The sequence below is a fragment of the Homo sapiens genome, chromosome 19, assembly GCF_000001405.40.
Source record: "Homo sapiens chromosome 19, GRCh38.p14 Primary Assembly".
NCBI classification, from domain to species: Eukaryota; Metazoa; Chordata; class Mammalia; order Primates; family Hominidae; genus Homo; species Homo sapiens.
The window spans coordinates 4406065-4426417 of NC_000019.10; the positions used below are offsets into that span (position 1 = coordinate 4406065).

At 48.6% G+C, this 20353-nt stretch overlaps 1 protein-coding gene across 9 annotated transcripts in view, besides 3 other annotated features; it reads left to right on the plus strand.

Annotated features, from left to right (window-relative positions):
• Positions 1–20353, plus strand: part of CHAF1A (chromatin assembly factor 1 subunit A) — a 48191-nt gene that overhangs the window by 3425 nt on the left and 24413 nt on the right. For 4 of the 9 annotated variants that reach the window (XR_007066505.1, XR_936135.3, XM_011527605.3 and 1 more), the window contains exons 3-7: positions 2839–3695; positions 11956–12012; positions 16502–16731; positions 17271–17331; positions 17742–17810. Coding sequence is in view for 3 of the 9 variants with exons in the window: in XM_011527605.3 (XP_011525907.1) it covers positions 2839–3695; positions 11956–12012; positions 16502–16731; positions 17271–17331; positions 17742–17810 (1274 nt within the window). In the remaining 6 variants the exon portion in view is untranslated. Of the gene's footprint in view, positions 1–2838; positions 3696–4440; positions 4460–11955; positions 12013–16501; positions 16732–17270; positions 17332–17741; positions 17811–20353 lie in introns of those variants that run through there. The other 5 variants (XR_007066507.1, XM_011527607.3, XM_047438011.1 and 2 more) reach the window with 3 other exon arrangements.
• Positions 2444–3255: an enhancer, noted in NCBI's record as "OCT4-NANOG-H3K27ac-H3K4me1 hESC enhancer chr19:4408505-4409316 (GRCh37/hg19 assembly coordinates)". NCBI's record gives its function as "activates a minimal SCP1, AML or CMV promoter by ChIP-STARR-seq in naive H9 embryonic stem cells {active_cell/tissue: H9 hESC(naive)}" and the evidence as "EXISTENCE:reporter gene assay evidence [ECO:0000049][PMID:30033119]".
• Positions 3256–4067: an enhancer, noted in NCBI's record as "OCT4-NANOG-H3K27ac-H3K4me1 hESC enhancer chr19:4409317-4410128 (GRCh37/hg19 assembly coordinates)". NCBI's record gives its function as "activates a minimal SCP1, AML or CMV promoter by ChIP-STARR-seq in naive and primed H9 embryonic stem cells {active_cell/tissue: H9 hESC(naive and primed)}" and the evidence as "EXISTENCE:reporter gene assay evidence [ECO:0000049][PMID:30033119]".
• Positions 6742–7740: an enhancer, noted in NCBI's record as "H3K27ac-H3K4me1 hESC enhancer chr19:4412803-4413801 (GRCh37/hg19 assembly coordinates)". NCBI's record gives its function as "activates a minimal SCP1, AML or CMV promoter by ChIP-STARR-seq in naive H9 embryonic stem cells {active_cell/tissue: H9 hESC(naive)}" and the evidence as "EXISTENCE:reporter gene assay evidence [ECO:0000049][PMID:30033119]".

Below are 20353 nucleotides of genomic sequence, written 5' to 3' on the forward strand. Positions count from 1 at the left end.
CAGTCCTTCTTCAGACCAGGAAGCTGGGAAAATGCTTTTCACACAGTAATGTCTCGTGGGGTTCCCACAAGTAAACCCCGAGGCCTCCACTTATGCACGATTGGTGTTTTGTAACTTGCAGCTGGGAGCTCTCCTGTATGTTGTAGGGAGCGTAGCAGCATCCCTGGCCTCTTCCCACCGGATGCCAGTAAGTGCATCCTCCAAGTCGTAACAACCAAAAATATCTCTATACGTGGCTGATGTCCCCTGGGAGGTAGAACTGCCCCCTCAGAGAACCACTGTTGTCCTGGAAGATAAATGCTCCCAAATCCTTCTGCATAAAACGGGGAGTGTGTTCACCCTTGGGCCAGATGAGCGGTTGGATTGTAATTTTTTTTTTTTTTTTTTTGAGACGGAGTCTCATTCTGTTGCCCAGGCTGGAGTGCAGTGGTGCGATCTCTGCTCACTGCAACCTCCGCCTCCTGGGTTCAAGCAATTCTCCTCCTTCAGCCTCCCAAGTAGCTGGGATTACAGGCGCGTGCCACCACACCCAGCTAATTTTTCTATTTTTAGTAGAGATGGGGTTTTACCATGTTGGCCGGGATGGTCTCGATCTCCTGACCTTGTGATCCCCCTGCCTCAGCCTTTCAAAGTGCTGGGATTACAGGTGTGAGCCACCGCACCCGGCCCAGATTGTATTTTTAGAAACTACAGTTTTGGGTTTTTCAAACTTGGGCTGGGTGCAGTGTTGCATACCTGTAAAACCAGCTATTTGAGAGGCTGGGGTGGGAGGAGTGCTTGAGTCCAGGAGTTCAAGGCTGCGGTGAATTATAATGACACCACTGCTCTTCAGCCTGGATGACAGAGGAAGACTCTGTCTCTTGAAAAAAAGGGGGACGCCAGATGCTAGGCTCACACCTGTAATCCTAGCACTTTGGGAAGCTAAGGTGGGCGGATTGTCTGAGCTCAGGAGTTTGAAACCAGCCTGGCCAACATGGTGAAACCCCGTCTCTACTAAAATACAAAATAGCTGGGCATGGTAGGGGGCACCTGTAGTCCCAGCTACTCAGGAGGCCGAGGCAAGAGAATTGTTTGAACCCGGAAGGAAGAGGTTGCAGTGAGCCAAGGGTGCGCCACTGCACTCCAGCCTGGTGACAGAGCAAGACTCTGTCTCAAAACAAACAACTCCCCCCACACCCCCCCCAAAAAAAAACAGGTTTTTATTTGGTCTATTACATGATGAAATAGTTAATAAAAGATGCAATGGCATTGAAGTAAGTGAACATAGGTTCTTTGGGAAATTCACTCTCCAAAGTGTTTCTGTGTTCCTCCTAACCAGCCCGAAGCCTGGCAGACTCTGGGAGAACAGTTTGATTGATGAGAAAAGCCTAACAGAGCCTAGGGTGCTGAGGCCAGGAGAAAAAAAAAAAACCCTGTCCACAAATGTGTCTATATTTTCTACTTGAGAACCAGATGCAGTTATTATCAAATGAGATTTTCACCCATTAAAAATAAATTTGGAATATGAACTGCATCTGAAATAAACAAATGTCTCTTGAAATTCTGGCGATGGCTCTGCTAAAAGGCTTGTCAGGATTTTGTTTTTTAAGTTAGGATGTTGAAGCGGGGCATGGTGACTCACATCTGTAGTCCCAGCACCTTGGGAGGTGGAGGCGGGCAGATCACCTGAGGTCAGGAGTTTGAGACCAGCCTGGCCAACATGGCGAAACCCTGTCTCTACTAAAAATACAAAAATTAGCTGGGTGTAGTAGTGCATGCCTGTAATCCCAGCTACTTGAGAAGCTGAGGCAGGAGAATAGCTTGAACCCAGGAGGTGGAGGTTGCAGTGAGCTGAGGTGGCGCCATTGCACTCCAACATGGGTGACGAGCAAGACTGTCTCCAAAAGAAAAAAAAATAAGTAAAATTAGGATGTTAGAAAAGGATAGAATGAAAAGATAGCACCCCCCACCCCCTCTTTTTTTTTGAGACGAGGTCCCTTTTGCCCAGGCTGCAGAGTAGTTGCACCACCACAGCTCACTGCAGCCTCTACCTCCTGGGCTCAAGCGATCCTCCTGCCTCAGCCTCCCGAAGTGCTGGGATTATAGATGTAAGTCAGTGTACCTGGCTTCAGATAGCCCCTGCCCCGTCTTTTTTTTTTTTTTTTCTTTTGAGAGTTTCGCTCAGGTCGCCCAGGCTGGAGTGCAGTGGCGTGATCTCAGCTCACTGCAGGCTCCGCCCCCCGGGTTCACACCATTCTCCTGCCTCAGTCTCCCGAGTAGCTGGGAATGCAGGCGCCCGCCACCTCACCCGGCTAATTTTTTGTACTTTTAGTAGAGACGGGGTTTCACCGTGTTAGCCAGGATGGTCTCGATCTCCTGACCTTGTGATCCGCCTGCCTTGGCCTCCCGCACCCGGCCTTTTTTTTTTTTTTTTTTTTTTTTTTTTTTGAGAGGGAGTCTGTCTCTGTCGCCCAGGCTACAGTGCAGTGTTGGGATCTCAGCTCACTTCAACCTCTGCCTCCCAGGTTCAAGCGATTCTCCTACCTCAGCCTCCTCAGTAACTGGTATTACAGGCGTGTGCCACCATGGCCTGGCTAATTTTTGTAGTTTTAGAAAAGACGGGGTTTCACCATTTTGGTCTGGCTGGTCTCAAACTCCTGACCTTGTGATCTGCTTGCCTCGGCCTCCCCAAAGTGCTGGGATTACAGGCATGAGCCACCACACCCGGCCCAGATAGTCCCTTTTTAAACTTTAAAATTATCTCCCACCCCCATGTCCCAACAAATCAGTAATTTTCAAGCTCATGAGTGGTTGTAACTTTAAACGTTCACTAGAGATGGCTTTCTGTCTTTGTTTCAGCCCGTCTGCCGTTTAAGCGCCTGAATCTTGTCCCAAAGGGGAAAGCCGATGACATGTCAGACGATCAGGGTACTTCTGTGCAAAGTAAAAGCCCCGATTTAGAGGCCTCTTTGGACACCTTGGAAAACAACTGTCATGTGGGTTCTGACATAGACTTTAGACCGAAACTTGTCAACGGGAAGGGTCCCTTAGATAACTTTTTAAGAAATAGAATCGAAACCAGTATTGGCCAGAGCACAGTCATCATTGATTTGACAGAGGACTCGAATGAGCAGCCAGACAGTCTTGTGGACCACAATAAACTAAATTCTGAAGCCTCTCCCTCCAGGGAGGCAATAAATGGCCAGCGAGAAGACACTGGGGATCAGCAGGGGTTGTTGAAGGCCATTCAGAACGACAAGTTGGCATTTCCTGGAGAGACCCTTTCAGACATTCCTTGCAAAACAGAGGAGGAGGGTGTTGGCTGTGGAGGTGCAGGGAGGAGAGGCGACTCCCAGGAATGTTCGCCACGGAGCTGCCCGGAGCTGACGAGTGGCCCGAGAATGTGCCCCAGAAAGGAGCAGGACAGTTGGAGTGAAGCTGGGGGCATCCTGTTCAAAGGGAAGGTGCCTATGGTGGTCTTGCAGGACATCTTGGCTGTGAGACCACCGCAAATCAAGTCCCTTCCAGCCACACCCCAAGGCAAGAACATGACCCCTGAGAGTGAGGTGCTGGAATCTTTCCCCGAAGAAGACTCTGTACTCAGCCATTCGTCCCTGAGCTCTCCCTCTTCCACCAGCTCGCCCGAGGGGCCGCCTGCTCCCCCAAAGCAGCACAGCAGTACCAGTCCCTTCCCCACCTCCACGCCCCTCCGCAGAGTGAGTATCTCCCATGGAGTCCCTGCACATCAGTGCTCACGGATCTCAGAGCGCTGTCAGTCTCCACTGGGTCACCCAGGTGTTTTGTGGCAGAGTGAGCGGGGCCACGGGCTGGGTCCTGGGACTCGACGTGGAGTTCTTCCTGGTATCAAAACTCACAGTGTTCAGTTCTGCATTCGTTGTGATGCCCCTGGGACTTAATTCATCAACAGTGTACCTGGTGTACTGTGTGAATAACACCCTGCTGTTTTGCCTTCGTTGTTCACATCTAATCAGTGATAGCTTAGCCGTTTTAGGGAATTAGGATCTGAGCTGGTGCTGTAACCCCTCACTTCAGATTCGAGGTCCAGCTTTCTCTGTGCCCTTCCTGTCTAAGCATAGAAATGTAGGGACGGGGCTGCAAAGACACTGAGCACTGAAGTGGCAGTGAGACGGCAGGAAGCATGACTTGGGGAATTCTGTAGGGTCAGCACAGCCAGCCATCTTAAAAACCTTACCTGGGGCCAGGCACAGTGGCTCATGCCTGTCATCCCAGCACTTTGAGAGGCCGAGGTGGGAGGATCGCTTGAAGATCACTTCAAAACCAACCTGGGCAACATAGACACCATCTCTATGAAAAAAAATTACTTTTTTTTTTTTTTTTGACAGAGTCACTCTATCACCCAGGCTGGAGTTCAGTGGCGTGATCTCGGCTCACTGCAACCTCCACCTCCCAGGTTCAAGCGATTCTCCTGCCTCAGCATCCCTGATAGCTGGGATTACAGGTGCGCACCACCACACTTGGCTAATTTTTATATTTTTAGTAGAGACAGGGTTTCACTATCTTGGCCAGGCTGGTCTTGAATTTCTGACCTCAAGTAATCTGCCCGTCTTGGCCTCCCAAAGTGCTGGAATTATAGGCATGAGCCACTGCACCCAGCCCTGCAAAAAAATTTTTAAAAGTTATCCAGGCATGGTGGCACATGCCTGTAGTCCCAGCCACCTGGGAAACTGAGGCAGGAGGATCACTTGAGCTGAGGAGTTGGAGGCCGCAGCGAGCTATGATCACACTGCCGCGCTCCAGCCTGGGTGACAGAGCGAGACCCCATCTGGAACCATTTTTAAGGACCCCATAAGGGGGACTTTTGCATGGTCTGTCTCTGTTATTGATTTTTTATTAGCACAATGGTGTCCTTAAGGTCTTAGGGACCAAACTGATAAAATCAGTCACGAGTCCCACGGTGTTTAGTGGTGTCTTTTGATTTTATAATTTTTTACTTTTTATCTTAAGTATGTAGAACCAGAAGAGACAGTGCCTTTTTATGTTTTTGGTTTTGTAGCACTTTTGTTTGTTCATGTTGGGTCTTTATATGAGAGTAGTAGATCCTGAGATGGGTCATTTAATCTGTACCTGTAAGCAGGTACAGTAGACCACCTGGACCATAAACCACCAACCTTGTTCGCTTTCGGGATTTTGAGCTCTAAGGAACCATTTATTTATTTATTTTTGAGACAGAGTCTTGCTCTGTCACCCAGGCTGGAGTACAATGGCGCCATCTCAGCTCACTGCAACCTCCGCCTCTTGGGTTCAAGCAATTCTCCTGCCTCACCCTCTCAAGTAGCTGGGATTAGAGGCACCCGCCACCATGCCCAGCTAATTTTTGTATTTTTAGTAGAGACGGGGTTTTGCCATGATGGCCAGACTGATTTCAAACTCCTGACCTCAGGTAATCCACCCGCCTTGGCCTCCCAAGTTTCTGGGATTATAGGCGTGAGCCACTGTGCTTGGCCAAGAGCATTTATTTTTCTGAATGACTTCATTTCTTGTCTTTCACCTGAGAAGATGAAAAAGGAAAAAATGGCTTCCTCTTTAGGTTTATGAAATGTTGTAAAAATGGTGCAAATCTTTTTTTTTTTTTTTTTTTTTGAGACATGGTCTCACCCTGTCGCCCAGGCTGGAGGGCAATGGCATGGTCTCAGCCTACTGCAGCCTCCACCTTCTAGGTTCAAGCGATTTTCCTGCGTCAGCCTCTTGAGTAGCTGGGATTACAGGTGCCCACCACCACGCCTGGCTAATTTTTGTATCTTTTCAGTAGAGACGGGTTTCACCATGTTGGCCAGGCTGGCCTCAAACTTCTGACCTCAGGTGATCCGCTTGCCTCGGCCTCCCAAAGTGCTGGGATTACAGGCATGAGCCACCGCCCCAGTCTTCTACTTTGTTTTATATGTGCTGGTTTGTTATATAGGTAAACTCTTGTCGTGGGGGTTTGTTGTACAGATTATTTTATCACTCAGGTACTAAGCCTAGTACCCTCTTCTAAGTTACTAAATGTGCCAGACTGGCATGTACACATTTCAGCTTCTACCTAATCCACCACTCAATCTCCCAAAATCAGAGTTGAAGTCTCTCCCCATTGGGCATCCTGTAGTGTACATTCGATCACTTGAATTTCTTCCAGGCTGCTGCCGCTTTGCAAAATTTCGTCCTGTGATGTGAGCCATTTAGCAAGAACGGGACACATGGCTGGGCGCGGTGGCTCACACCTGCAATCCCAGCACTTTGGGACGCCGAGGCGGGTGGATCACCTAAGGTCGAGAGTTCAAGACCAGGCTGACCATTATGGAGAAACCCCGTCTCTACTAAAAATACAGAAAATTAGCTGGGTATGGTGACGCTTGCCTGTAATCCCAGCTACGCCGGAGGCTGAGGCGGGAGAACCGCTTGAACCCAGGAGGCAGAGGTTGCGGTGGCCTGAGATCGTGCCATTGCACTCCAGCCTGGGTAACAAGAACAAAACTCCGTCTCAAGAAAAAAAAAAAGGACAGGACACAAGCACATGTTTCCATTAAGTTTGTTTCCATGTCCACAGCTTAGTCTGCAAACTGGGAAGTCCCCTCGTTGGGCATCATGGTGGCACAATCCTGCCCGCTTTCTAAAACAACTGAGCACATGAACCCAGTGTGCAACATTTAGGAAACCCTGCATTTAGGACGCTAGATCTTGTTCTGAACACAGACTCGAGGTTTTGGGATGCACTTGAAGGCAATATTATCCCAACTTTTCAGATAATTTACAAGTGGTAAAGGCTTCAGGCTGGCCCAGAGCCTATGGCAGAAAGCGGCCACAACCACCCGCAGAGGGCCTGTCAGTCACCGAAGCTATGAGGGAAGCGATTATCGGGAGGCCTCCTCATGCCCTGATGGCAGGGATCCCTGAGATCCCAGCTGAGAGAGACTCCATCCCCAACCCCTACTTTATCTCCGAACCTTTAAGGAGTCCTGCATTTCTGGTTTGGTTGGTTTGCTTGCTTCATAGTTGGTACCTAACTCTTTTTTATTTTTTATTTTTTTTGAGGCGGAATCTCACTCTTTTGCCCAGGTTGGAGTGCAATGGCGTGATCTTGGCTCCTGCAACCGCTGCCTCCTGGGTTCAAGCAATTCTCCTGTCTCAACCTCCCAAGTAGCTGGGATTACAGGCACGCGCCACCAGGCCCAGCTAATTTTTGTATTTTTAGTGGAGATGGGGTTTCACCGTGTTGGACAGGCTGGTCTCGAACTCCTGACCTCGTGATCCGCCCGCCTCGGCCTCCCAAAGTGCTGGGATTACAGGTGTGAGCCACCGCGCCTGGCCAGTTGGTACCTAACTCTTAACACCTTTCCTTGCCGTGACGTCCAAGCCACCCCCTTCCCACAACCCCTGTTCCTCTGGGGAATACACTGTTTTTGCACTTTACCTCCCTACCAGCAGCTCTTTCCAGATTGCAGGGGCGAGCTGGTGGGAAGCTTGCAGATTGTTTCGCACTGCCGTGTAATCTGTGTGCTTGTCACTGGGGTCTGTTCTTCCTTGAGTTGGTACAGTGAAATATGCATTGAGAGTCCCAGGGCAGTCATTGCCACTGTACTTTGTGGGCTGGCTTGCCTTCTTTATTATTTCTTCTTTAAAATAAAAGAAAATGGGAGTTTGTTCCGATACAGGTCCTGCTGTCCCTTTGCAGGGAGCTTCATGGCGTGTTTTTGTTTGTTTTGGTTTTTGTTGTTGTTTTAGTACTGCAGGATCTGGAGAATCTCACTTTGGAGAAACAATGATTTAAAAAGATCCCCCTTTAGATACTCCCAGGGTCCTTTGAATAGCTGAAGTGTTCCTTTTTAGTATTAGAGTTTTCTACCATGTGGGAAAGAACCATTTCTGAAGTTTGCAATCAGACTTGTGATTTAGCCTCTTCTGTTAGTGATCGAGATGATTATTTGACAAATGATCATGTTGGTGCAGTTGTGTTACTGGAATCTTTGGCTTGCTTCTGTGCCCAGATTGCTGGAACTTCTTTCCATATACTTGAAATTACATTTGTAATAAATTCTCCATGTTTAAAAGAAATACTGGTCTAGGTGCAGTGGCTCAAGCCTGTAACCCCAGCACTTTGGGAAGCCGAGGTGGGAGGATTGCTTGAGCTTAGGAGTTCGAAACCAGCTTGACCAACATGGTGAAACTCCGTCTGTACAAAAAATACAAAAAATAGCGGGGCATGGGGGTGCACACCTGTAGTCCCAGCTCCTTGGGAGGCTGAGGTGGAAGGATCACTTGAGCCAAGGAGGCAGAGGTTGCGGTGAGTCATGATTGCACCACTGTGCTCCAGCCTGGGCAACAGCCAGACCGTCTCAAAAAAAAAAAAAAACAAAAAGGAAAAAGAATGGAAACCTTGAAGCCCTCTGTTCTCCCAGGAGGTTGCCATTATTATCATCATCATCACCTTGTGTTTTTCTGTGTCCTGTATATCCAGAGAGATCTCTAGGAAACACCCAGTATCATTTTGTTTCCTTGTGTATGACATATACTGTAAATATCTGTCTTTGTTACTCAAGGGTGTCTTAGATGTTTTTTATATTGGGATGGAAAGATGGAGCTCTTTTTAACAGCTGCGTGATATCCCATGGTGTGGACATGCTGTAGGTTACAGAGCTGTTTTCTCAGTTCTGCTGTTTCTGTGCTTGGCTTTCACAAAATGATTGTTCCCTTGAGCTTCCTTCTACAAGTGGCCTTGGGCTGTTAAGGAGAATGAGGTCTTGGTAGCTCAAGGCAATGCGTGCGTTCTTATTTTCCCAGCTTGCACTCTCTCATGCTTGGGCCAATTGGAGGTTTTCTCTTTTCCCCCCTGCCTCCGCTCCCCTGCTGTCAGGTTTTAGCGGCTTATCTGGTCTGGGCTTAGAAATTAGATACCCTTTAGTATAAAATCAGAGTCCATAGGCTCTGAGAGGATTATCTGAGAAAGGGTGCAGGAATTTTCATGCCCACACATAGTGAGCTCTGTCGCGACTCCTTGGGATTGTCGGTTTTTGTGTTTTGGCTTCCTTCTGGGATCCTGGATCACGTTTTTGGCAGTTGAGGGTGCTGTCTGACCGGGCTCCAGCTGGGTAGAATGTGGGAGTGTTGCATAGAATTTTGAGAGTGAGATCTATAAACACTTGGGTCAAATTTCAAGAAGATAAAGTTCTGTCAGACTTCAAGGTCCATCTGAGGGTTTGGCAAAGCAAAAAAGATACCAGTTTTAAATTAAGCAGTAATTGCTCTGTTTTGGTTGTTGGATATTACTGAGCGGGCTCTTGCCAGTCACATCAAGTCTGTTATCTCTGGACTCACAGCAGAGGGGGGGCATTGTAAGAGGCAGGAGATTCTGCAGCTGAGCTTCAGGCATGGGCAAGACTAAGGAACTGAATTCCCCGCCACCCCAAGACCACATTCCGTATTATAATCTCTGAACACAAAGGGCAGCCCCGGAGAGCTGCGGCTCCCATATTCTGCAGTTAAATCCCTCAGCGTGGGGGAGAGGCACACAGCCTTGGCAGGCAGAGTAGATGCTGGAGAGACAGATGCTTTTTCTGCAGCATTTGGTGAGGCTGCCTCGGGCTGGCATTTCTGTTGCCACATTCTCAGCAAAGACTGAACACCCTGGCCTGATCTCGGTGGTGAAAGAGCTCCTGCCAACACGGGCAGCCTTCTCACAACGGCTCGGCCTTTCCCTAAAGAAAGGTTTAGTCCAGAAAGGACTCAGTGGGACCCAGGTGGAAAGGCTGTCTTGAGCTCATTCATCTGAAGCTTTTATTCTGTGAGAGGTCCTAGTCAGGGGTTCAGCTTTCCCAGATAAAGAAATCACTGTTGGCCGGGCGCGGTGGCTCACGCCTTTAATCCCAGCACTTTGGGAGGCCGAGGCGGGCGGATCACGAGGTCAGGAGATCGAGACCATCCTGGCTAACATGGTGAAACCCCATCTCTACTAAAAATACAAAAAAATTACCCAGGCATGGTGGTGGGCACCTATAGTCCCAGCTACTGGGCAGACTGAGGCAGGAGAATCGCTTGAACCCGGGAGGCGGAGCTTGCAGTGATCCGAGATGGCGCCACTGCACTCCAGCCTGGGCGACAGAGCGAGACTCCGTCTCAAAAAAAAAAAGAAATCACTTACATAATTTTGTTGACCCCTCAGACCATTGCCAGGAAAATGGGCCTTTGGTTTTTCAGTCAACTTCAGTCTTACACTGCAAGTCTGCAATGAACCCGGAGAACTATTTCTTCCCACTCTTAAGCGTCTCTTCCCATTGCTCTTCACTTCTACTAGTTTGGTTTTCAGGATTCCCTGCCCCGGTGGGAGATAGCTTAGGCCAAAGTCCAGACTCCCTGTTCGTCTTCCTTCCTGGGACCATTTAGGTGGATGGTGAGTCACACCATGGATCCTATTGGTAATTCCTAGTAGCTCATGCTCAGTTTGAAGGTAGGTGATAGAAAATATTGTGCCCTAGAAGGTAGAAGTCCTAGAAAACCCCAGCAAGTTTCCCTTTTGTCTTAAGCTTTCACTCCACATTCTAAAAAGCAGAGTTGGCTGGGCGCGGTGGCTCACGCCTGAATTCCTAGCACTTTGGGAGGCGAGGCGGGTGGATCACCTGAGGTCAGGAGTTCGAGACCAGCCTGGCCAACATGATGAAACCCCTATCTCCACTAAAAATACAAAAATTAGCCAGGTGTGGTGGCACACGCCTATAATCCCAGCTACTCAAGAAGCTGAGGCAGGAGAATCGCTTGAACTTGGGAGGTAGAGGTTGCAGTGAGCCGAGATCGTGGCACTCGCTGCACTCCAGCCTCTGTGACAGGAGTAAGACTCCATCTCAAAAATAACATTAAAATAAAAAGCAGAGTTGAGCTAGACAGAATGTAAATTAGTGGTGCACAGGAAACCAGCCTGGAGACATGTTTTATTTGATTAATTTAGTATCTTTTTATTTTTTTTTTAGACAGTCTCACTCTGTCACCCAGGTTGGACAGCTCAGTGCAGCCTCAACCTCCCGGGCTCCTCCCACCCCAGACTCCTGGGTAGCTAGGACTACAGATGTGCACCACAACACCCGACTAACTAAAAGCTTTTTTTAGAGACAGGGTCTTGCTTTATTGCCCAGGCTGGTCTTGAACTCCTGGGCTCAAGTGATCCTCCCGCCTTGACCTCCCAAAGTGCTGGGATTACAGGCATGAGCCACTGTGCCCGTCTGTGTCCATTTTTAAACACCTAAAAAAATTCATATGAAATTCCTAATATCAGCTTCTCTTGGAGAAATTGGAAGGACCAGCAAATAGGGATCTATATTCCTGTAAGAACTCCATCTCCTTTGGACAGGCAGGTCCTCTCTCCTTTGCTACAAATCCATCCTCTCCCTGTCGCCCAGGCCAGCTGTCGCTTTTTTTTTTTTTTTTTTTTTAAGACAGAGTCTCACCCTGTTGCCCAGGCAGGAGTATGGTGGCGCAATCTCGGCTCACTGCAACCTCCTTCTCCTGGGTTCAAGCGATTCTTCTGCCTCAGCCTCCTGAGTAGGTGGGATTACAGGCACCTGCCACCACGCTCGGCTAATTTTTGTATTTTTAGTAGAGATGGGGTTTTGCCACGTTGGCCAGGCTGGTCTCGAACTCCTGACCTCAGGTGATCTGTCTGCCTCGGCCTCCCAAAGTGCTGGAATTACAGGCGTTAGCCACCGCGCCCAGCCTTGTCTGTTGCCTTTATTTCTGAGCTTGCCTTGTTTTTCTTGTGCTTGGTGTCCTTCACTCATTTCTTTATCTGCCTCCGTAGTCTCTCTTGTTATCTAATCCCAGATACACACATGTATGCACACTTACTGGAGTTTGTGACCCTATTATGACATTTTGGTTCTGTTGGTGGAAAAACTGATCACCTGGAAAGGTTTCTCTTTTTCTCGAAGCAATTGAAATAACCCGTGTTTAAAGATAAACGTCTTCTGTTTTCAGATAACTAAGAAATTCGTCAAAGGCTCTACAGAGAAGAACAAGCTCAGACTGCAAAGAGTAAGACATTTTCCCTGAAATAGAAAATTAACCTGCTGTGCTTTTTGCATTAAATAGTAAGCAAAGCCCTTTGAAGTTCCTTTGGTCTAGTTTTTACATTTTCCCCAGCCTTCTCTGACCATCATTTTGATTCCTGCTTCATTTTAAGTACTTGGACTTCATGGTTTGTGGATTGTGTCATTTTTTGGCTTGCTGAGTGAGTCCTAAGGTTTTGTGTGTGGCCTTTTCTAAGCTTTTATCAATAGTGCTACCACTGTCTTAATGGTTCAGTATCCCATTGTAGCTTCAAATTACCTTCCAAAAACCCAGTCCATTTCCTTGTAGTCCTGTCTCTTTTTTTTTTTTTTTTTTTTTTTTGAGACAGAGTCTCGCTCTGCCACCCAGGCTGGGGTGCAGTGGTGCGATCTCGGCTCACTGCAAGCTCCACCTCCCAGGTTCACGCCATTCTCCTGGCTCAGCCTCCCCAGTAGTTGGGACTACAGGCATCCACCACCACGCCTGGCTAATTTTTTGTATTTTTAGTAGAGACGGGGTTTCACCATGTTAGCCAGGATGGTCTCGATCTCCTGACCTCGTGATCCGCCCGCCTCGGCCTCCCAGAGTGCTGGGATTACAGGTGTGAGCCGCCGCGCCTGGCCAGTCCTGTGTCTTTCACTTATTGCTAAGTGCTATAACATCTGAATAGCCTCTACACTCGATGGGTGGTTATCCTTTAGTGACTCTCTGCTTAGTCTCCTATTCTGTGGGGGGCATCACCACGTTTTCCACACAGCAATGCAGGGGGCTTTTGTTTTGTTTTGTCTTTGAGACGGAGTCTTGCTCTGTCACCAGACTGGAGTGCAGTGGCACGATCTCGGCTCACTGCAACCTCTGCCTCCCGGGTTCAAGCGGTTCTTCTGCCTCAGCCTCCCGAGTAGCTGGGACTACAGGCACTTGCTGCCATAGCCAGCTAATTTTTTTTTTTTTTTTTTTTTTTTGTATTTTAGTAGAGATGGGGTTCACCATGTTGCCCAGGCTGGTCTCAAACTCCTGAGCTCAGGCAATCCTCCCGTCTCAGCCTCCCAAAGTGCTAGGATTACAGGCCTGAGCCACTACACCTGGCCGCAGGGGACTTTTTACTTATTGCTTAAAGGTTAGAGAAATTGAACATCATGTCATACCGAAACAAACCAAAACTCCAGGGAAGGCCTCTGGGCTTTGCCTATGCAGTGCCAGCTCACAGGAGGGGCCTGGTGACCATGGGCTCTGCGTTTACTGAGTGTTTCCTGAGCTCCCTGATGTTCACTGGGCGTTTCCTGAGCTTCCTGATGGCCACACTGAGTTTTTGTGTTTCAGATTTGGGGTTGATTTTTATTTTATTACTTTTTTTTTTATTGAGACACAGTCTCTGTTGCCCAGGCTGGAGTGTAGTGGTGCAATCTCGGCTCACTGCAGCCTCTACCTCCCGGGTTCAAGCGATTCTCCTGCCTCAGCCTCTCGAGTAGCTGGGATTATAGGCACGAGCCACCACGCCTGGATAATTTTTTGTATTTTTAGTAGAGACAGGGTTTCGCTATGTTTGTCAGGCTGGTCTCAAACTCCTGACTTCAGGTGATCCACCCACCTTGGCTTCCCAAAGTGCTGGGACTACAGGTGTGAGCCACCACGCCCAGCCTGATTTTTATTTTTACAGTTTATCTCATTCTTTGGAACAAGAGCACTTTTAAAGCTCATTGGAACCTCCGAGTCCCGCACACCGGGTTGGGGAGCGGAGAAAGTATCCAACGGCGGCTGAAGAAATCTGATTCACCTGCAGTTTCTAGAAGCCTTCTATTTCCTGCTTAGCAACAGGGTGGGAGACTCTTCACCCAGTTATGTTTATAGTCTCCTTGTTCAGTCCAGACGGTCACCTTCCTCGTGTGTCTCGTATATCAGATGCAGTCACACAGCACACTGGCAGGAAATGCACATCAGACATCTTCCAGGCTGTGTCTCTGTGGCTTTTGTTAAAGCTACCAGAGATGTATTGGAACACATTTAGAATTTTTCCTTAGAGACAAGGGCAGATATCCTAACCCAAACTGAAAGCTGAGCTGTCAGGCTCCAGACGTGTGGGAAGCCCATATTGGATGAGAGGTGGTCCTCATGCAGTGTTAGGAGCGGGCACCTGTGGAGCTGGGCAGGTGAGCGTTTTTTTTTTTTATTTTGAGACAGTCTCGCTCTGTTGCCCATGCTGGAGTGCAGCGGCGTGATCTCGGCTCCCTGCAACCTCCACCTCCCAGGTTCGAGCGATTCTCCTGCCTCGGTCTCCCAAGAAGCTGGGATTACAGGCACGTGCCTTCATGCCCAGCTAATTTTTGTATTTTTAGTAGAGACGGGGTTTCACCATGTTGGCCAGGCTGGTCTCGAACTCCTGACCTCAAGTAATCCGCCTGCCTCGGCTTCCCAAAGTGCTGGGATTACAGGTGGGAGCCTGCGCCTGGCTGAGCATGTTTAACATTGAACTTCAGATTACGTAATGACTGAGTGTCCCAGGCCACTGCCAAGTCTTTGGAATGAGGAACGTAGTGATGAAGTGTTACTTCCTTAAAGAATTTGAAACAAGGCTGGGCGTAGTGGCTCGCCCCCATAATCCCACACTTTGGGAGGCCAAAGTGGGAGGATTTCTTGAGCCCAGGAGTTTGAGACAAGCCTGGGCAACGTAGTGTCTCTACTAAAAAGAAAAAGAATTCCTGGGCTGGTTGCAATGGGTCATGCCTGTAATCCTAGCACTTTGGGAGGCTGAGGTGGACAGATTGCTTGAGCGCAGGAGTTAAAGATCAGTCTGGGCAACATAGTGAGACTCCATCTCTACAAAAATTAGCCAGGTGTGGTGACAGGTGCCTGTGGTCCCAGCTACTCGGGAGGCTGAGGCAGGAGGACTGATTTGAGCCCAGGACGGAGGTTGCAGTGAGCCAAGATAGCATTGCTGCACTCCCTCCAGCCTGGGCACTAGAATGAGACTCTATCTCCAAATAAATAAATAATGTTTTTTTGTTTTGTTTTTCAGACAGAGTCTTGCTCTGTCACCCAGGCTGCAGTGCCGTGGCGTGATCTTGAACTGCCTTGTGGGTTTAAGCGATCCTTGTGCCTCAGACTCCTGAGTAGCTGGGACTATAGGTGTGCGCCACCACATTCAGCTAATTTTTTTGTATTTTTGGTAGACTTGGGGTTTCACCTTCTTGGCCAGGCTGGTCTCAAACTTCTGGCCTCAAGCAATTTGTCTGCCTCAGCCTCCCAAAGTGCTGGGATTATAGGTGTGAGCCCCCTCAGCCCAGCAGGATTGTGTTTTAAATGAATCTTATATTGAATTTCCCACAAGTACCAGGACACAGGGCTAATTCTTAACATTTTTCTCATGATGGAAGGAAGCATAATGGATTATGAAAATCACTTCTGTGGCTGGGTGCTGGGGCTCATGCCTATAATTCCAACACTTTGGGAGGCTAAGGCAGAAGGATTGTTTGAGGCCACGTGTTCAAGACCAGCCTGGGCAACACAGCAAAACCCCATCTCTAGGAAAATTACAAAAATAGCTGGGTATAGTGGTGTGTGCTTATAGCCCCTGCTACTCAGGAGCCTGAGGTGGGAGGATCACTTGAGCCTGGGAGGTCGAGGCTGCAGCCAGCTATGACTGCACCACTGCACTCCACCATGGGCAACAGAGTAGACTTTGTCTCAAGAAAAATAAAATCACTTCTGTGTAAAGTTGTTGACTGGAGGCTCCTCCTGGAGCTGGTCTCTGAATTCTTATTTATTCATTTATTTTTTTAACTGAGTCTCAGTTGCCCAGGCTGGAGTGCAGTGGTGTGACCTCAGCTCACTGCACCCTACGTCTCCTGGTTCAAGTGATTCTCCTGCCCCAGCCTCCTGAGTAGCTGGGACTACGGGTACCCTCCACCACGCCTGGCTAATTTTTTTTTTTTTTTTTATTAAATGGAGTCTCACTCTGTCACTGATGCTGGAGTGCAGTGGCACCGTGTTGGCTCACTGCAACCTCCGTCTCCTGGTTTCAAGCAATTCTTCTGCCTCAGCCTCCCCAGTAGCTGGGATTACAGGCGCCCACCATGCCTGGCTAGTTTTTTTTAAAAATATTTTTAGTAGAGATGGGGTTTCACCATCTTGGCCAGGCTGGTCTCGAACTCCTGACCTCAGGTGATCCACTTGCCTCGGCCTCCCAAAGTGCTGGGATTACAGGCGTGAACCACCGCGCGCAGCCAATTTTTGTATTTTTAGTAGAGACAGGGTTTCACCCTGTTGACCAGGCTGGTCTCAAACTCCTGACCTCAGGTGATCTACCCACCTCAGCCTCCCAAAGTGCTGGAATTACAGGCGTGAGCCACCATGCCTAGCCTTGGTCCCTCAATTCTGTTCATCCCGTCCAGGCCGTGCTGTCCTCCATGCTGTGAACCGAGCTTCCTCCTGGGAGTTGGAGGGAGGGCCACCTGTCACTTGCCACACTGTCTTGTAGGATCAGGAGCGTCTGGGCAAGCAGCTCAAGTTACGTGCAGAAAGGGAAGAAAAGGAGAAGCTGAAAGAGGAGGCCAAGCGGGCCAAGGAGGAGGCCAAGAAGAAGAAGGAGGAAGAGAAGGAGCTTAAGGAAAAGGAGAGGCGGGAGAAGCGGGAGAAGGATGAGAAGGAGAAGGCGGAGAAGCAGCGGCTCAAGGAGGAGCGGCGCAAGGAGAGACAGGAAGCCCTGGAGTGAGTGTCCTTGGAGGCCATGCTGGGCCCGCCACCCTGCTGCTGGATTCCGCTCCTGGCCACTCTGATGGGGCCTTTCCACTTCACAGGCAGATGGCGGCTCCCTTCAGTTCCTTCCCATTTCTCCTTCGTGAGGTGCCCGTGGGGCCCTGACGTGGGAGCGGTGGAAAGCAGCTCCCTGCTCTTTAGTGCTCCCCCACGTCCAACTCACCCTGGACCCCTTGTCTCTGCTGTGACCATCCTTCCAGTTCCCAACCAACTTAGGCATTTGCATTGCAGGATTGTGGGTTTTGTCTGTGCTAATTGTGCTCTGACTGGCTAAAGTTTTTTATATATATTCTAGTCACAGGAAGAATTTTATTGACTGTTTTCCATTTTTATTGTGAAGACCTATGTAAAAGCCTTATACTAGACATGAAAATAACTTATATTCATTTAATGTAAAATGAAATACTTGCCATATACTAACAGTTGAGTGCTGCGGTCCCTTCCAGAGCCAAAGCAAAGAGTCGGCTGAAATGTCATTTGCTGTCTCACAGGGCTAAACTTGAGGAAAAAAGGAAAAAGGAAGAAGAGAAACGGTTAAGAGAAGAAGAGAAGGTAGAGTGTTTCCCACAGAGCTTCCCCGTCCCAGCCCGTTGGAGAAGCAGATGCCCAAAGTGGAATTCTTGCCACAGCCGTCACCTAATATTCTCTTGGTTTGGGGAAACCAAATGGCGCCCGCAGGGAGGGCGAGTCTGTCTAGATGCGTTCTTGTTGCTTCTTCCCAGTGCTGGCTGTCACATGCCTACTGGCCCTGCAATCCTGGCACTTCTACCCACAAGGGCAACTTGGACATTTTGAGATTGGCTGGCTCAGTTGCGGGTCCGTGGGTTTTGAGAGCTGAAAATCACAGTAGTGCCTTCAAGCTAAAATGCTTGACGTTCGGTTCTGGGGGCCTTTGCATGTTTTGCAACACATACTGTTCCTCTTCCTCTCCTCTTTCTCATCACCATCTCTTAACATCACAGCGCATTAAAGCAGAGAAGGCCGAAATCACGAGGTTCTTCCAGAAACCAAAGACTCCACAGGCCCCCAAGGTGAGCAGCCGGCTGCCTTTGCTTTTGGGTTTCAGCTCTGCTAGACTTTTCCTTTCTGAAAGTGAAAGGGTCTCTCCCCAGCCAGCTTCTCTCATTAGGAGGGAGGGAGCCTCCAGTGACCTAGGGCACTTCCATTTCTGGTTAAGTCTTGAGGCTCAATATTTTGTCCTTCGCTTTGTCCCAAAGAGGTAAAAAGTGGCATGTCTGATTAAACAGTGCTGTTTTCAGAGGTTACTTCATGAATAATTTTGTGTTAGGCGTAAGAGAAATTCACCATGTTTTTACCCTTGGGAAACTTAGGCTTAAGGAGGGAGCACGTTTAGCTGTAAAACAACAGTACAATTCACAAAGGTTTACTTTCCCTGCCTGGCGTCGGTCACCTGGCATCTCAGACCTTCTGAGCCACCATCTGTGCATGGAAACCACAGCCCTCCTTCCCCTTTACCCAGAGGGAGCCCATCTCCAATGTTAGGGGTCCTTCAGTGCCTTTCCCTGCTCCACTCACTGTATTTATACACATGTGTACTTAGCTATCTCAGATTTGTGCCATGTTGCCACATTTAGATGTATTTCATTCTTTTTAATGTATCTGGCCTTTATTTATTTTTTGAGGCAGGGTCTCACTGTCACCCAGGCTGTAGTGCAGTTGCACAATCAAAGCTCACCACAGCCTTGACCTCTCAGGGTCTGGTGATCCTGTCACCTCAGCCTTCCCGAGTAGCTGGGACTACAGGCATGTGCCACCATGCCTGGCTAATTTTTTATTTTTATTTTTTTTGAGATGGAGTCTCACTCTGTCACCCAGGCTGCAGTACAGTGGTGCGATCTCAGCTCACTGCAACGTCCACCTCCCGGGTTCCAGTGATTCTTCTGTGTCAGCCTCCCAGGTAGCTGGGATTACAGGCACATGCTACCACACCTGGCTAATTTTTGTATTTTTAGTATAGACGGGGTTTTACCATGTTGGCTAGGCTGGTCTTGAACTCCTGACCTCAGGTGATCCGCCCGCCTCAGCCTCCCGAAGTGCCGGGATTATAGGCGTGAGCCACCGTGCCCGGCCTAATTTTTTAATTTTTTTTTGTAGAGACTGGGTTTTGCTATGTTGCCCAGGCTGGTCTCGACGACCTGGCTTCAAATGATCCTCCAAACCTCGGCCTCTCAAAGCACTTGGATTACAGGTGTGAGTCCCTGCACCTGGCCTGTCCTTTTATTTGTATGTTGAGACATTTGATGGCAATTGTGTATCCTGAAGGTGCACAATGTGACATTGTTGTACCTACACATCATATTGTGACAGCCAGAGATCCACATCATGTATTTTCACTGCCGCATAATACTTCATAATGCAATGATATGGTTTCTCTCTTTTTTTACAAAAATTATTTATTTATTTAGAGACGGAGTATTGCTCTGTCACCCATGCTGGAGAGCAGTGGCGCTATCTCTCGGCTCACTCTAACCTTTGTCTCCCGGGTTCAAGCAATTCTTCTACCTCAGCCTCCCGAGTAGCTGGGATTACAGGTGCCTGCCACCACTCCCAGCTAATTTTTTGTGTTTTTAGTAGAGACGGGGTTTCACCATATTGGCCAGGCTGGTCTTGAACTCCTGACCTCAGATGATCTGCCCATCTCAGCCTCCCTAATTTTATTTTTAGTAGAGACTGGGTCTCACTGTGTTGCCAGGGCTGGTCTCGACCTCCTGGTCTCAAGCATTTCTCTCGCTTTGGCCACCCACCGTGCTAGGATCACAGGCATGAGCCACAGAGCCTGCCACTATCTCAACCTCTTTGCCCCTCAGTGGTGTAGGGGGGGTCCCTGCACATGCTTCTCTGCACACATGCATTCCTCTGGGACAGCCAAGTAAGCATGAGTTCACCTCTAGGACAAAATAGCATATTGCTGAAGCATCATGAGCCATGGCCAGAGTGCGTGCCAGATGGGAAACTCAGATGTACATTCCCGGCGATGTGTGGAAATTTCCTCCCCATTCTCTGCTATCACTGCAATTTTTATGGGATTAATTTTCTTTTAACTTTGCCAGTCTGATGGATTTTTAAAAATTGACATTGTTTTACTTTCCATTTTTACTTGACTCTTGGTGCAGTTGAGCATCTTTTTCTGTTCGTTTGCCATTTTAGTTCTTCTATGACTTGCCAATTCCTATTTTTTTACCTATTTTTCTACAGGATTTTCTTTTTTTTTCTTTGCCTGATCTGTAAGTTTTTTTTAACATAGTCTAGTATTTCATTCTCCGTGATATTTCGTCTCAGCCTGTTACCTCTTTGTTTACAGTCTTTTTTTTTTTTTTTTTTGAGACACAGTTTCACTCTGTTGCTGAGGCTGGAGTGCAGTGGTGCCATCTCGGCTCACTGCAAGCTCCACCTCCTGGGTTCACACCATTCTCCTGCCTCAGCCTCCCGAGTAGCTGGGACTACAAGCGCCCGCCACCATGCCCCGCTAATTTTTTGTATTTTTAGTAGAGACGGGGTTTGCACCGTGTTGGCCAGGATGGTCTCGATCTCCTGACCTTGTGATCCGCCCGCC